Genomic DNA, 15627 nt, shown 5'->3' with positions numbered 1-15627 from the left:
TAGAGCATGTCATTTAATGTTTTTTCTTTTTTTCCTGAGACAGGGTCTGGCTCTGTCAGGCTGGAGAGCAGTGGCACATTCTTGGCTCACTGCCACCTCTGCCTCCTGGGTTCAAGTGATCCTCCCACCTCAGCCTCCTCAGCAGCTAGGATTACAGCTGTGTGCCACTATGCCTGGCTAATTTTTGTATTTTTTGTAGAGACGGGGTTTCACTATGTTGCCCAGGCTGGTCTCAAACCCTTAGACTCAAGTGATCTACCTGCCTCAGCCTCCCAGTGTTCTGGAATTACAGGCATGAGCCACCATGCCTGGCCTTATTTCATCTTCACAGCAATTCTGTGAATGATTTCTGCCAATTTGAAAAGAACAAGAAGGCTTTGACGGAAGGAATATCATCAACTAGAAAAATAGTGGTATGAGACACAGTCTCAGAAAAACTTGGAATATGGTTTAGTTTGCTGTGTTTTTTCTCAAACAAAACACAGATACCCAGAAGTCTTTTCAAGCTTTCCAGGGTTCCATGGGGTTATTCTGCCAGTAAAGGTAGGATTGAGGTGTTTTTTTTTTTTTAACTTTTCTAAAAATTTACCTGTAGATTTCAGTTCTCTCTTTTTTCTTCTCTTTCTAGTGCAATTGGTCTGCTATTGTAATCACAGCAGGATTACAAATGGCGCACTCAGATGAGAGCGTGGGAGATTTTAATAAAGGAATTATTTATACAAGGGTGGGCAGAGTGAAGGCAAACCCACAAGGCAGAGTAAAGGACCGTGGGGATGAAGAGTGGGAAGGCGTTCCCACCCCTGCATCTGCAGATGCCATGGAAGGGCATGGCTATGGGTGTCCTATGGAGAAAATAGCTCTGTCTGTAGGAGAGGACTGCCCAACAGTGTGTCCCTTGGTGGAGGGACTCAAGATGTTTGTGATGGCCTGGCAGAGTGGAAGACAGGGAACCTCGACCTCCCTCTGTCTTTCTCGGATCTGTGCAGGCCATGGTGACACACTCTGCATGTGACTAGTGCAGTCAGATATTTTAATGCACATTTTACAGATGTGGAAATAGACTCAGAGAGTCTTGATAACTTGCCCAAGGTCACAGAGCTGGGAAGTGAAAGAACTGAGATTTCAATGTGGGTTCAGGTCAGTGGTTCTTAACACTGGCTGAATATAAGTATCACCTGGTATATATAACTTCAGTATTTTAAGAAAATACTGAAGTCTGAGCCCCATGCTCCGAGATCCTGATGTAATTGGTCTGGCTTGGGGCCCAGGCAGTGTATTAAAAGCTCCCCAGATGATTCTAATGTGGGGTTGAAAACCATGGTTTGGTTGAACTCCAATATCTGTGCTGTATTTACGGTAATATGAGCGGCTATGGGCATAGGGCTAGTGACAGAGAAGTCACTGAACCGGGGAAACCCACTGTCTTATGTTAAGAAAGTCACCAGAGTACGTTGAAACCAGGGAGTGCCCTGAGATGCTGGAGGCAGTTTGGAGGAGTGAGGGGAGACTCCTCAGAGGAGCTAAAGCTTGTGCTCAGCTGGGTGGCAGTGACAGTAACAATACTTGCTTAGTGTGGTTTTCCCACAGGCCAGCCATTACTCCAAACACTTATTAGTAGTAGCTAATTTAATTCTTATCACCACCCCTATGGATAGGTGCTATATTGTCGTAATTTATTTGTAATCTATTAATTCAATTAATGTTTTATTAATATGTTTTGTCCATTTTACAGACAAGGGTGCTAAGACAGAGGTTAAGTGTTATATTAGTCTGTTCTCACACCGCTAATAAAGACATACCTGAGACGGGGTAATTTATGAAGAAAGAGTTTTAATTGAGTTACAGTTCCACATGGCTGGGGAGGCCTCACAATCATGGTGGAAGGCAAAGGAGGAGCAAAGTCATGTCTTGCAGGGTGTCAGGTAAGAGAGGGAGCATGTGCAGGGGAACTCCTTTGTATAAAACCATCAGATCTCGTGAGACTTATTCACTATCATGAGAACAGCATGGGAATGACCTGCCCCAGTAATTCAATTATCTCCCATCAGGTTTCTCCCACAACATGTGGGAATTATGGGAGCTACAATTCAAGATGAGATTTGGGTGGTGACAGAGCCAAACCATATCAAGTGTCTTGCTCAAGGTCACACACAGATATAGGTGGGTTTAAACCCAAGCATTTTGACTTGAGAGCCCATCTGTGTTAACACTATTAACACAGGTGAGGCTGGGGGTCGGGGGAGAAGAGGGAAGATGGAGGGTAGAGAAGGTGGTGTTCTAGGCAGAACCTAAAGCAGGTGAAAGATGGAAGCAGTTAGACATAGAGAGCATTTAGTGGATCTTTGCTGGAGCTTGGGGTGAGCGGTGGGAGTGGGGGACAGGGGGCAGGGGTAGTGCATTTCCCAGAATAGGGTTGCATCATGTGCCTTATTCTAAATGCAATAAGCAGCCAGGAGAGAGTGACTTGGTCAGATGATCTGCTGTTACCATTTACATTGGGAATCATTGTAGAAAACCTGTGTACACCAAGGCCAGCAGCAGCAAGAGGTTCTGGGGAGGCATCTGTGCTCTTCAGGGTGGGTCACTGAGAGACCCCAGCACCTGTGTGACATTTAGAATGTATCCAATGCCAGAGGACCTGGGCAGCAGCCCAGAGGGAGCCCCAGCCATGAGGTGAAAGCTCTGGACTAAGGTTCAGCCCTCCTGCTGGTTCTCTGGCACCAAGATTCTTATACAATTCTGTGAAAAGTAGGAAGAGATCCTCTCTCATGTTGAGGGAGTGGGTGAGGCAACTCACAGTGTAGTGGGTTTATCTGACTTAGAAAAAGGAAGAAATGTGAAGTTTCTCATATTTGAGTACTGAAGAATAAAATTCTCATTTTGCCACAGAAAAGGAGAGGTATATTAGTCCATTTTCACACTGGTATAAAGAACTGCCCCAAAGTGGGGTAATTTATAAAGGAAAGAGGTTTAATTGAGTTACAGTTCCGCATGGCTGGGGAGGCATCTGGAAACTTACAATCATGGTGGAAGGCAAAGGGGAAGCAAGGCACCTTCCTCACAAGGCGGCAGGAAGGAGAAGTGCTGAATGAAGGGGGAAGAGCCCCTTATAAGGCCATCAGATCTCATGAGAATTCACTATCATGAGAACAGCATGGGGGAAACCACCCCCATGATTCAATTACCTTCATCTGGTCTCTCCTTCAATATGTGGGGATTATGGAGATTATAATTCAAGATGAGATTTTGGGTGGGGACATGGCCAAACTATATCAAGAAGGAAACTTTTTTAAAAAAATAGAGATGGGGTCTCACTGTGTTGTCCAGGCTGGCCTCGAGCTCCTGGGTTCAAGCAGTCCTCCTGCCTTGGCTTCCCAAAGTGCTGGGATTACAGGTGTGAGCCACTGCACCCATTTTTTTTTTCAGAGCCTGGAGGAAAGGATTTGAGGGTAGGATTGATGCGATGAATTTTCCAGTGGAGGACAGACTTGGAGGTTGAAATCGTAGCATAAAGAAATTTAGGATCTGGCAACAATGTGGCTGAGGTAAGGGAAAAGGAATATGAAGTCAGATTTATGACATCAATATCAGTTGAAACTGTGTAGGTAAATTCTAAGTTTTGCAAAAATCCCCATCAGGAGGAAGAAAATGGCAACAATCCATCCCACCCTGCTTCCCCTACATTACCTTCCCCTCAAGTATCAGCAGATTATACCTGACAATTGCTTGGTGATAAACATGTAATTACATTTGTTTATTTATTTCTAGTCTTCACAGCCAATGAGACTGGTTTCGATCCAGGCCGCCTAGCTTAATGAAATCAATGGATTAAAAGCTTAAATCTGTACTTTGGTTTAAACTTCTTCTTTCTCAGCTCACAGGATATCTCAGTCCTTGGACCTCATCCCAGGGATGGAGAGGTTTTTTTCTTTTAAATGAACTGATTGGATGTAGGTTTAAGGACTGTGTGAACAGACCTTTTCACATAAAATAATAAAAGTGATATTGACCCTGGCTGTGAGACTGGAGCCTTGTGGCTTTGCTGAAGAGTGTTAAGAAGAGCAGACTGCAAAGGCCTGAGGCCGCAGAAACTGCTGAAGAATTATAAGTGGCCTATTTTACCCACAAAAACAACCAGGGAAACATTTTAATCTTCTTCTTGAGTCCAAAATAGAGATCTGATTTTATCTCCTCAAGGCAGAATAATTTTATATGGCCATAAATAAGCAAAAGGGCTTTCCTTTTGCTCCAACTAATTGTTGTAGAATAGCTGAGCTTTTTCCTACATGGATATAAAGGTAGAAAGAACAGTATAAAAAGCACCAGTTTCTTACCACCTGGAATTAATGTAGGATATTTTTGTCATATGTATCTTTTTATTTTTATAATGAAAGGAAGTATTATGGGGAAAACTTAAGTCAGGGTTCCCCAACCCCCAGGCCACAAACCGATACCTGTTAGGAACGGGGGCCACACAGCAGGAGGTGAGTGGCAGGCGAGTGAGCATTATTACCTCCTGAGCTCCGCCTCCTGTCAGATCAGCGGTGGCATTAGATTCTGGTAGGAGTGCAAAGCCTATTGTGAACTGTGTGCAAGGGATCTAGGTTGCGCACTCCTTATGAGAATCTAATGCCTGATGAGCTGAAGTGGAACAATTTCATCCCCAAACCATTCCCCCAATCCATGGAAAAATTGTCTTCCGTGTAACTGGTCTCTGGTGCCAAAAAGATTAGGGACCGCTGCCTTAAGCGACATTTGACCTTGTGTCCCATTCATGTTCCCACCACCACTACCATGAGTTTTGTAGGTATCCTTTCAATTAATTCTATAATTTCTTTTCATATACAGCTTGTGAGTATTCTATTTTTTTTTTTTTTTTTGAGATGGAATCTCACTCTGTTGCACAGGTTGGAGTGAAGTGGTACAATCTCAGCTCACTGCAACCTCTGCCTCCCGGGTTCAGGAGATTCTCCTGCCTCAGCCTCCCAAGCAGCTGGGACTACAGGCGCCTGCCACCATGTCCAGCTGATTTTTGTAGAGACAGGGTTTCACTATGTTGGCCAGACTGGTCTCGAACTCCTGAGCTCAGGTAATCCACCCGCTTCGGCCTCCCAAAGTGCTGGGATTACAGGCGTGAGCCACTGCGCCCGGCCTAAATTGTGAGTATTCTTAATCCAAAAATCTGAAATCCAAAATGCTGCAAAGTCCAAAGCTTTTCAAGGGCTGACATGACACTCAAAGGAAATGCTTGTTGAAGCATTTCAGATTTTGAATTTTGGGGTTAGAGATGCCTAATAGGTAAGTACAATATTCCAGAATCCTAAATATTCAAAAATCTGAAAAAGTCTGAAATTCTAAACACTTCTGGTCCCAAGCATAAGGAATGCTCAACCTGTATGTATGGATGTGTGTGTGTGTCTGTATTTATATATATATATATAAATAAATAAATAAATAAATATATATATATACAACCAGTAGGTAATATTGTTTTGTGAGTTGGTTGTTGCTTTCAGTGTAAATAAGTAGTGTCATGCAAGACATATTCATCTGTATGTTGATTTTTCCACCCAACATTGTTTTTCAAACATAGTATGTTCATACAAATAGATTTAGTTCATTGCTTTTAACAGCTTTATAATGTACCATATTTTATTCAGTTTCCATCTTTAACAGTCTCATTATTATAAACAATACTGCAATAAACATCCTTATATATGTTTCCTTGTGCAAATGCATAGTGGCTTCTGTATGTTATATACTGGAAATGGAATGACCAGGCTGTAGAACGTGCACATTTTCTATTTTTTTAAGCACCTATTGATATGGTCTGGCTCTGTGTCCCCACCCAAATCTCATCTTGAATTGTAATTGAAATCATAATTCCCACGTGTTGAGGGAGGGACCTCTTGGGAGGTGATTGAATCATAAAGGCAGTTCCGTCATGCTGTTCTCATGATGGTGAGTGAGTGCTCATGAAATGTGATGGTTTTGTGAGGGTCTTCTCCCCTCTTCTCTCTGCACTTCTCTCATTCTTCTCCTTCCTGCTGCCATGTGAAGAAGGACATGTTTGCTTCCCCTTCTTCCATGATTGTAAATTTCCTGAGGCCTCCCCAGCCATGCTGAACTGTGAGTCAATTAAACCTCTTTCCTTTGTAAATTACCTAGTCTTGGGTATGTCTTTATTAGTACCATGAGAACGGACTAATATACTCGCCAATGTTTCTATCCCAATTTACCCTTCTTCCAAAGGTATCTTAGACTGTCAGTGACCCATTTCCCTCCATACACATAATCTGGAATCATCTAAACCCAGACTTTCTACAGTCTTCCCATCATGCTCATAATAAAACACGAACTTGTCCACTGGTCAACAAGCTCTACAGCCAGGCCCTTTTCCTCACTCCAACCTTAGCCTCACCTCTAAATGCTCATGCTGCTCCAGCTATGCTGGTTTTCTTCCTTCCTTTCTTCCTTCCTTCCTTCCTTACATCTCTCCCTCCCTCCCTCTTTCTTTCTTTCTTTCTTTCTTTCATTCATTCTTTCTTTCTTTCTCTCTCTTTCTTTCTTTTTCGTTCTTCTTTTTCTTTTTTGACAGGGTCTCACTTTGTCACCCAGGCTGGAGTACATTGGCATGACTATGGCTCACTGCAGCCTCCACTTCCTGATTATGGCACACTGCAGCCTCCACCTCACTGCAGCCTCCATCATCCTCCCACTTCAGCCTCCCAAATAGCTGAGACTACAGACACCATGCCTGGCTAATTTTTTTTGTATTTTTTATAGAGACAGTGTTTTGCCATGTTCCCAAGGCTGTTTTGCAACTCCTGGACTCAAGCAATCCTCCTGTCTCAGTTTCCCAATATGCTGGGATTACACGTGTGAGCCACCACAGCCAGCCTGTGCTGGTTTTCTTGATGTTTCTTGACATCTCGAGTTTGTTCTGACATCAGAGTTTTTGCACTTGCTCTTTCATTAGACTGGAATACTCTGGTCAGATTTTTCCCATGGCTCGCTCCATTATTTCAGGTATTATCTAAAACATTTTCCTAGTATGGCTCTTTTCTTGGACCACCCTACCTAAAACACCTACCTTTCCTTCCAGAGTGATTCTACCATTCAGCATCCTCCTTACTGCATTTTATTTTTTATTTATAGCACTTCTCACTATCTGACCTTATATTATGTATTTTTTTTATTGCCCCCTTCACTAAAACATGACTCCTGTGAAGGCAGACACCTTACCTCTTTTGTTCATTGCTGTGTTTACTATCCTGGCAGTACCAGAATAGTGCCAGGATAGTAAGTGCTTAATAAATGTTGAATGAATAAACATAATTCTGGAAAAGCAGGGATGGAGGGGTGACTTGTAGGTATTAGAGGGATGTTAAACATTTTTTATGCATTCACTCCTCCAGCCTCATACCCTTGTTTTGGAATATGCTTTTCCACATGATGGAAGCAGGCAATATTCAGAAGGAACTGGAGAAGATATTGAAATACTGGAAACAAAAATCTGCATGAACATCTTTTAAAAGTCAAGTTTAAATCAGAACACTGTCTGCCCAGGATAGTGCAGTGGATTCTATGTGTCCTTAAACTATCCAAAATTTGTGTGTCACACTGGTCTCTATTTTTAAGTTATGCACAAAAGTTGACCAATGACAAGAAGGCCATGGAAGATGTATTAGTTACCAATTGCTCTGTAACGAATCACCCCACAGTGTAGTAGTTTAAGAAGCATACATTTATTATCTCATAGCTTCTGCAGTTCAGGAATCTGGAAGGCTTAGCCATGTACTCAGCTTCTGGATTTCTCACAGGCTGTAAGCAAGGTGTTGGCCAGGGCTGTAGCTATCTCAGGGCTTGACTGGGGAAGCACACACTTTTAAGCTCACTCATGTGGCTGTTGGCAGGATCAGTTTCTTGTGGGCTGTTGGCTAGAGACATAAGTTCATGCTGGCTGTTGGTCAGCAGCCACCCCCAGTTCTTTGACACATGGGCCTCTCCAGCACAGCAACTTGCTTTATTGAAACAAGCCAACCAAGAAAGCAGTCAAGAGGCTGCATTCAAAACAGTAGTCATAGGCATTTATAATCCCATCTCAGAAATAAATTCCATATTTTTTCCCATCTTCTTTTTATTAGAAGCTAGTTCTAGCTCCCACACAAAAGAAGCAGATTCCACAAGGGAGTGAATACCAGGAAGTGGGGATCACTGGGAGTCATTTTAGAAGCTGTTTACACAGAAGGAAAGCAAGAGATGGGCATATATGGGCTGGGGAGGGGAGCTGTTATTTGGTGACAGAGAATTTGTTCTACTTTAAATTTAGTTTACAAGCTTGAAATGTTATTTCTTACCACTTGGATGAAACCGAATGGCAATTTAAAAGTATAGATATTGTGTTAAAGCATAGAGAATGTACACTGTGTTAAAGCAAAGAGAAATTATTCTGACACTTGTTAAAAATAGCAAGGAAGACTTTATTCATGACTATTGCAGCAGGGGAGAGAGCATGAACTCTATTCCAAATACAGCAGGGACAAGTGAGGATTTATTGTCGATGGGCAAGGTGAGGCCAAGGATGGAAAATGACTAAGAGAATTGTGAGGTATCAAGGGAACAAGAGAGAGGAGCTGATTAGTTTCGAGGGTGAGGGAAAAGGAGTTCGATTGGATATCAGGATGGGGATATTCTTGATAAACTGACTTAGCAGGATTCTTTGCTAAAACTGGGCTCAGTAGGCCAAGGCCAAGACCTAGTTGAGAAGAGGGCTGAGAAATGACTAAAGTTTGTTTAAGGGGAAGTCCTTCTCAGTTATCTTCTGTTAACATCTATACATCTCTGGCACCCCTTTCACTCAATAGCAAACACCAATCTGTTGGCATTGCACACTTAAGGGTGGGACCCTAATCCCATAGTACTGGTGTCCTCATTAGGAGGAGGAGGAGATGCCAGAGCTGGCTCTCTCTCTGCAAATACAGAAGAAAGGCCATGAGAGGACACAGGAGAAAGATGGCTGTCTGCAAGCCAGGGAGAGAACCCTCACTGGGAACCTAACTTGTCAGCACTTAGATCTTGGACTCTCAGCCTCTAGAAATGCAAGAAATAAATGTCTGTTGTTTGTACCCGGCCTGTAGTATTCTGTTATGGCAGCCCAGCTGACTAAGACACCCACTGTTCTCCAGTCCATTTCATTCCCTTCCCTGCTGGCAACTTCTTAAGACAGTTTTGGCTGTTTCTTCTGGCATATATCCTGTTCTAGATTTCTCAATAGTATCCTTTGACTCATTAATTTTAGACATTACCTATTAATTTCCTATTATGGCAGTTAAGTATTTACCTTTGTTGTACTGCTTCCTCTTTCCCATCCTCCCACTGGAGTGACATTACGATTTTGGTTAAATCAATATGTAGAATTTATGTAATTTTCTGAATTATTGGGAAAACTATTGGACAACACCATTTGACCTGAATCCGTGCAGGGGTTCCTCTGTGGGGGCAAGTTGCTTGAAATGTGGAAGGGGAAAACAATTGTATCTTGAAATCAGAATATGGATAGAGTGAGTGGAAGTGGCTGAATCACTAATGTTCCTTCCTTTTCCCAAATGTATCCATCAGATACGGTGCTCTCATCCATTATCCATACCCTACAGAACTGGAGCTACTCAATCTCAACATAAATAAATAAATAAATAAAATAAAATAAAATAAAATAAAATAAAATTAAATTAAAAGGCCCAGCATGGTGGCTCAGGCCTGTAATCCCAGCACTTTGGGAGGCTAAGGCGGGTGGATCATTTGAGGTCAGGTGTTCGAGACCAGCCTGGCCAACATGGTGAAACCCCATCTCTAGTAAAAATACAAAAATTAGCCAGCTGTGGTGGTGTGCGCCTGTAATCCCAGCTACTCAGGAGGCTGAGGTATGAGAATCACTTGAACCCTGGAGGCGGAAATTGCAGTGAACTGAGATTGTGCCACTGCACTCCAGCCTGGGCAATAGAGGGGGACTCAGTGCCAAAACCAAACAAACAAACAAACAAAACCCCAAACCCAAAAAAACCCCAAAACAAACAAACAAACAAACAAACCAAAAATAGAATAGTAGCTAAGGAAGCCAAAAGGGGCCAGAAGGATTCTTCCTACATTTTTGCCTCCAGGGTAATGGAAAGGAAATTCCTTCTCTTAAAAGAAACCTGAGGCAAGAATGACACTCCCTCCTACGCAGTCCAAATGACTTGATTTTTGTGAGCCTGTAGCCATGTTTGACGCTCAGCTGTTCTCCAGGGCTGGAGGCTTTCCTGTGCATGTGGGCCAGCACAAACATTCGCTGGGAGTTGAGTGTGGTAAGTAGGTAGCAAAGAATGAGCAGCTTAGGAAGTTCAAAGTGAAGTGTGCGGCAGGTCGGATTCCATAATCACTTGCCTTTGAATTGGACTCCACCGTTAATCTGCCATGTTCAGTGTCCTGCTAAACAATAGACTTTTTAAATGATGCACACACAGCCTTAAATTTGCTGAGCTATTCTCACAGTCAGCCGAGCTCATTTCAAAGCATTCAGACTGTACCACAATTAGCTGCTGACACTATCCTAAAATAATATAAAGCCCGGCCAGTAATTACACACTAGAAGAAACTATGTATAGAAAAGCTGATTAACTTGTAGGGTGGTGCAATTTTCTGAGCTGTGAACATTTCAAACAGAACCGTAGCAGTCATGTTGGTATGGATGAAAATCCAACTGCAAATCCTTAGCTAAATATTTAACAACATCTTGCTCTAAAAGTATCAACCAAGACTTCAGGTTGATACTTGGATCTTCTCTTTGTGGGTCAAGGGACTGAAAGGGCCAGGTCTTTCTCGAGTTTACCTGCAGGTGGCACTGCAGGGATAACCTCCACTAACCCAGCCGATGTGTCAAGGTGACCACAGCCATCACACGATTGTTGTCATTGTCTTCATCATCACTGACATCTTCACAGTCATCGTTAGCATTGTTCTCTTATGAACTAATGGCATGTGGTGCAGTTCTGGATTTCAATTGTCTCCATTCCATACCCATCTCTCATATGTACAGATTTGGCATTGGGATTCTCACCTTTGCTCCTGATTCTTTGCTCCTGTGATGTCCCTTGGCTGGGATGGCCAGCAGTGCCTCTCCCTGCCTTGTTTTGAGGGGGTGTCCTGTGTGAGTCACTGCTGTTTCACTCAAGTTCCTGAGACAGCTCAGGGAGGGCTTCTGTCAAACAGACAAGCTTTGCCTGAAGAAGCTTTGCCCTGTTTCCCTGGCACTTTCCTACCTTACTAAGGTCTTGCTTCTTCCTTCTAAAGTCAGTGTCTAAGATAAGTCTTAAGCAGATGTCTCCTGGGCTTCCTTTTGTTTACAGCCAATGCACCACCCAGCTCTCCAGAGCAGAAGGTAGCTCTTGACCCCTTTGCTCACTTCCTGACTTCAGTCACTGGTCTCTCCTTTGTACACAGAGTGTTCTCCTCTCCTCTCTCTCTTAAACTTTTAATTTAAGTTCAGAGAGTACATGTGCAGGTTTGTTTTATGGGTAAATCATGTGTTGCTGAAATTTGGTGTACAAATGATCCCATCACCCAAGTAGTAAGTATAGTACCTGATAGGTAGTTTTTCAACCCTTGCCTCCTTCCTCCTTTCCCCCTCTAGTAGTCTCCAGTGTCTATTGTTTCCAGCTTTATGTCCATGTAGACCCAATGTTTAGCTTCCACTTATAAGTAAGAACGTGGCAGTTTTTGGTTTTCTGTTCCTGTGTTAATTTGCTTAGGATAATGGCCTTCAACTCCATCTATGTTGCTGCAAAGGACATGCCTTCATTCTTTGTTATGGCTGTGTAGTATTCCATGGTGTATATGTACCATATTTTCTTTAAGCCACCATTGGTGGGCACCTAGGTTGATTTTATGTCTTTGCTATTGTGAATATTGCTGTGATAAACATACCAGTGCGTATATCTTTTTGTAGAATGATTTATTTTCTTTTAGATACATACCCAGTGATAGGATTTCGGGGCCAAATAGTAATTCTATTTTTAGTTCTTTGAGAAATCTCCAAACTGCTTTCCACGCTGGCTGAACTAATTTATATTCCTGCCAACGTTGTGTGAGTGTACCCTTTTCCCAGAAACCTCACCAACATCTGTTAATTTTTGTCTTTTTAGTAATAGCCATTCTGACTAGTATGACCTGGTATCTCAGTATGATTTTGATTTGCATTTCTCTAATGATTAGAGATATTGAGCATTTGTTTCATATGTTTGTTGGCCACATGTAGGTCTTCTTTTGGGAAATATTTGTTCATATCCTTTGCCACTTTTCCTAATGCGGTTATTTGTTTTTTGCTTGTTGAATTGTTTGAGTTCCTTATAGATTATGGATATTACACCTTTGTCAGATGCATAGTTTGCAAGTAGTTTCTCCCATTCTGTAGGTTGTCTGTTTACTCTGTTGATAGTTTATTTTGTTGTGCAGAAGCTCTTTAGTTTAATTATGTCCCACTCATCAATTTTTGTTTTTGTTGCAATTACTTTTGGGGACTTTTAGTTATAAATTCTTTACCAAGGCCAATATCTGGAAAGGTAGTTTCTAGGCTTGCTCCTAGGATTTTTATAGTTTTAGACTCTAGATTTTTATAGATGGTCTATAACCATCTGATCTTCACTGAAATTGACAATAAGAAGCAATGGGGAAAAGACTCCCTATTCAATAAATGGCACTAGGGTAACTGGCTAGTCATATACAGAAGAATGAAACTGGGCCCTTACATTTCACCATATACAAAAATTAACTCAAGAAGGATTAAAAACTTACCACTCTCTTGACATCATTCATGAGCTCCTAGAATTCAGGGGCTTTGGTTTATTTATTGTTATATCCCCAAAGGTGGTAAACAGCCAAAAAAGTAAAGAACAAAAGCAAAAATCACCATAATATATTTTCTTAAAGGCAGAGATGTGGAAAGGAAGATAAATTTTTGGTGCTCCTTTTACTAAAAATTTTACTTTGGCGATCTCTCCAGCTTATGGGGGAAGAAGGAAGAAGCTACACGAAAGCCTGTTCTTTGGTTCTTTGAGGAAAAAGTGTTGTATTTCCCTCCCTCGATACAGAAATGTTGGATATTACCTTGCAGCAATTACCACCTTTTTCCTTGTTGGTAGAAACTTTGAATCTGTGGCTCGTTCACAGTCCCAGGAGGTAAATTGTGATTGACTTAAGTGACAACCTCATTCACATTCCTAGGAAATGGTTTGAGGCTGAGTTCTGGCTAATGGGATCTGAGGGTATCTTATTTGAAGATTTGGGGAGAGATTTTCCTCACTAAAACAAAGAAAACCCTAGGGTGAAATGCTGCTATTTTTGACTAGAGGTTGTTGAGTTAGTGTGTGAGACCTGGAACATCTGCAGTCATCTTGCAGCCAAGAGGAGATTTTGCTCTCATGCTACCGAGATGGAAAAAGCCCCTGGCTCTTGAGGACATAGTAGGATCATGGATTTACCTAGGCTTGAACTTGTCTTTCTTCTGGACTTATTATAAAATAATCTTTTATTTTAACTTCTATTAGTTGGGTCTACTCTTCTTATAGTCAGAAGTACCACAATTGATGCACCTACAATTTTTTTTGTAACATTTTTCTCAATCATTTCCCCAGTATTAGCTGAGGTCCTCCCTAAACTGTGGGGAGGAGGTAGAGGGGTTGTTTCAGTGGAAGGAGAATGAGTGATGAGACCTATCGAATGTGTTAAATAGCTTTCATTTGCCCTTCCAGATCCATTTTCCACTGTTTTGTATTCTGCTCTAAGCTCCAAAGTAGGAACAGGGATAACCTATATGGACAGTCTCTGTTTTCTCATGTTATTGAGAAGGACAATAACGAACACCTTTTTGAGCTTCCAAATTATATGTTAATGTATGATTCTCTCCAAAGGCTTCTCATCAAACGTCATTTGACCCATAGTCTTCTTTTTAATTTTTCCCAAGATCGACTCCCAAGAAAATATTTCCCAAGAAAATATCAGTCAGGGTCCCAACAAGAAACAGGTGACTCACTCAAATTTGGATAATTTGAAGAAGGTTTACTTACAAAAGTGTGCAGGGTGGTGGACCTCAAGCAGATTGAAATCCAATATCAGTTAGAAGCCTAATTCTTTCCAGTGTTGTGAAATTAAATATCACCCATATTCCTCTCAGCTAAATTCTTCCCTTTCTTCTAGAAGGATTTTAAGTTACACCTTTTCTGGAAAGTTTCCCCATCCTTCTGCTTTAGTCTGTTCTCACAATGCTATAGAGAACTACCGGAGACTGGGGAATTTATGAAGAAAAGAGGTTTAATTAACTCACAGTTGGGCAGGCTTAACAGGAAGCATGACTGGGAGGCCTCCGGAAACTTACAATCATGGTAGAAGGCAAAGGGGAACCAAGCACATCAAACCATGGGAGCACAGGAGAGAGGGAAATGCCACACACTCTTCAACCATCAGATCTCGTGAGAACTCTCTCATTATCACAAGAACAGCAAGGGGGAAATCTGCCTCCATGATCCCATCACCTCCCACCAGGTCCCTCCCTCAACATTGGGAATTACAATTCAACATGAGATTTGGGTGGGGACAGAGAGCCAAATCATATCACCTTCACTAACCAAAACTTACTGAGATTTTGACTTATAGTTGGACTCTACATTGATATTCATGCTCAACATATTGGAATTCCTTCGGAACAGAGAACACATACCTATGAAACCTGTCATTAAACTGGGTAGTAACACCAATATAATTGTATACTTTATTAAGATACATTTAAATTTTGGTAAAATATACTTAATTTACCATTTTAACCATTTTTAGTGTACTAGCTCTATAGCATTACTTACATTCACATTGTCATGCAACCATCATCACCATCCATCTCCAGACCTTTTTCTTCATCTGAAACTGAAACTCTATACCCATCAAAAAATAATTTTAAACACCTATTTAGTAGCATGCAATTTAGAAAAATGAATAGACTTTGTTTTGAGACAGGGTCTTTCTCTGTTGTCCAGGCTGGAATGCAGTGGCATGATCACGGCTCACTGCAGCCTTGACCTCCTAGTCTCAAACGATTCTCCCATCTCAGTCCCCCAAGTCACTGGAACTACAGGTGTGTGCCACCACACCTGGCCTTTTGTATTTTTTGTGGAGACAGGGTTTTGCCATGTTGCCCAGGCTGTAGACTTTGTTTTTTAGAGTATGTTTAGATTTACAGAAAATTTAAGCCCACAGTACAGAGTTCCCATCTCCCCATTATTAACATCTTACATTTGTAGGGTACATTAGCTACAATTAATTAACCAATATTGATAAATTATTATTAACTGAAGCCCATACTTAATTCAGGTGCCTTTAGTCTTTATCTAATTATCTTTTTATCTTTCAGGAACACATCCAGGACACTACATTACATTTATTTGTCACGTTTCCTTGGGTGCTCTTCATTGTGACAGTTTTTCAGACTTTTTTTATGACCTTGACAGTTGTGAGAATTATTGGTCAGTTACTTTGTAGAACGTCCATCAGCTGGGATTTGTTTGATGTTTTCTTTTTTGTTATTTTATTTTTTAGTTTTTA

The 15627-nt window shown here is 41.5% G+C and overlaps 2 annotated features.

Moving 5' to 3' along the window:
* Window positions 8921-9203: a silencer, noted in NCBI's record as "fragment chr13:98565660-98565942 (GRCh37/hg19 assembly coordinates)". NCBI's record gives its function as "represses an EF-1alpha promoter that drives an FKBP-Casp9 reporter gene in an ReSE screen in HepG2 liver carcinoma cells {active_cell/tissue: HepG2}" and the evidence as "EXISTENCE:reporter gene assay evidence [ECO:0000049][PMID:32094911]".
* Window positions 10310-10515: a silencer, noted in NCBI's record as "fragment chr13:98564348-98564553 (GRCh37/hg19 assembly coordinates)". NCBI's record gives its function as "represses an EF-1alpha promoter that drives an FKBP-Casp9 reporter gene in an ReSE screen in HepG2 liver carcinoma cells and phorbol 12-myristate 13-acetate-treated (for megakaryocytic differentiation) K562 erythroleukemia cells {active_cell/tissue: HepG2 | K562(+PMA)}" and the evidence as "EXISTENCE:reporter gene assay evidence [ECO:0000049][PMID:32094911]".

This window comes from Homo sapiens, chromosome 13 (genome assembly GCF_000001405.40).
Source record: "Homo sapiens chromosome 13, GRCh38.p14 Primary Assembly".
Taxonomy (NCBI): Eukaryota; Metazoa; Chordata; class Mammalia; order Primates; family Hominidae; genus Homo; species Homo sapiens.
This window is presented reverse-complemented; position numbering and strand designations above follow the sequence as displayed.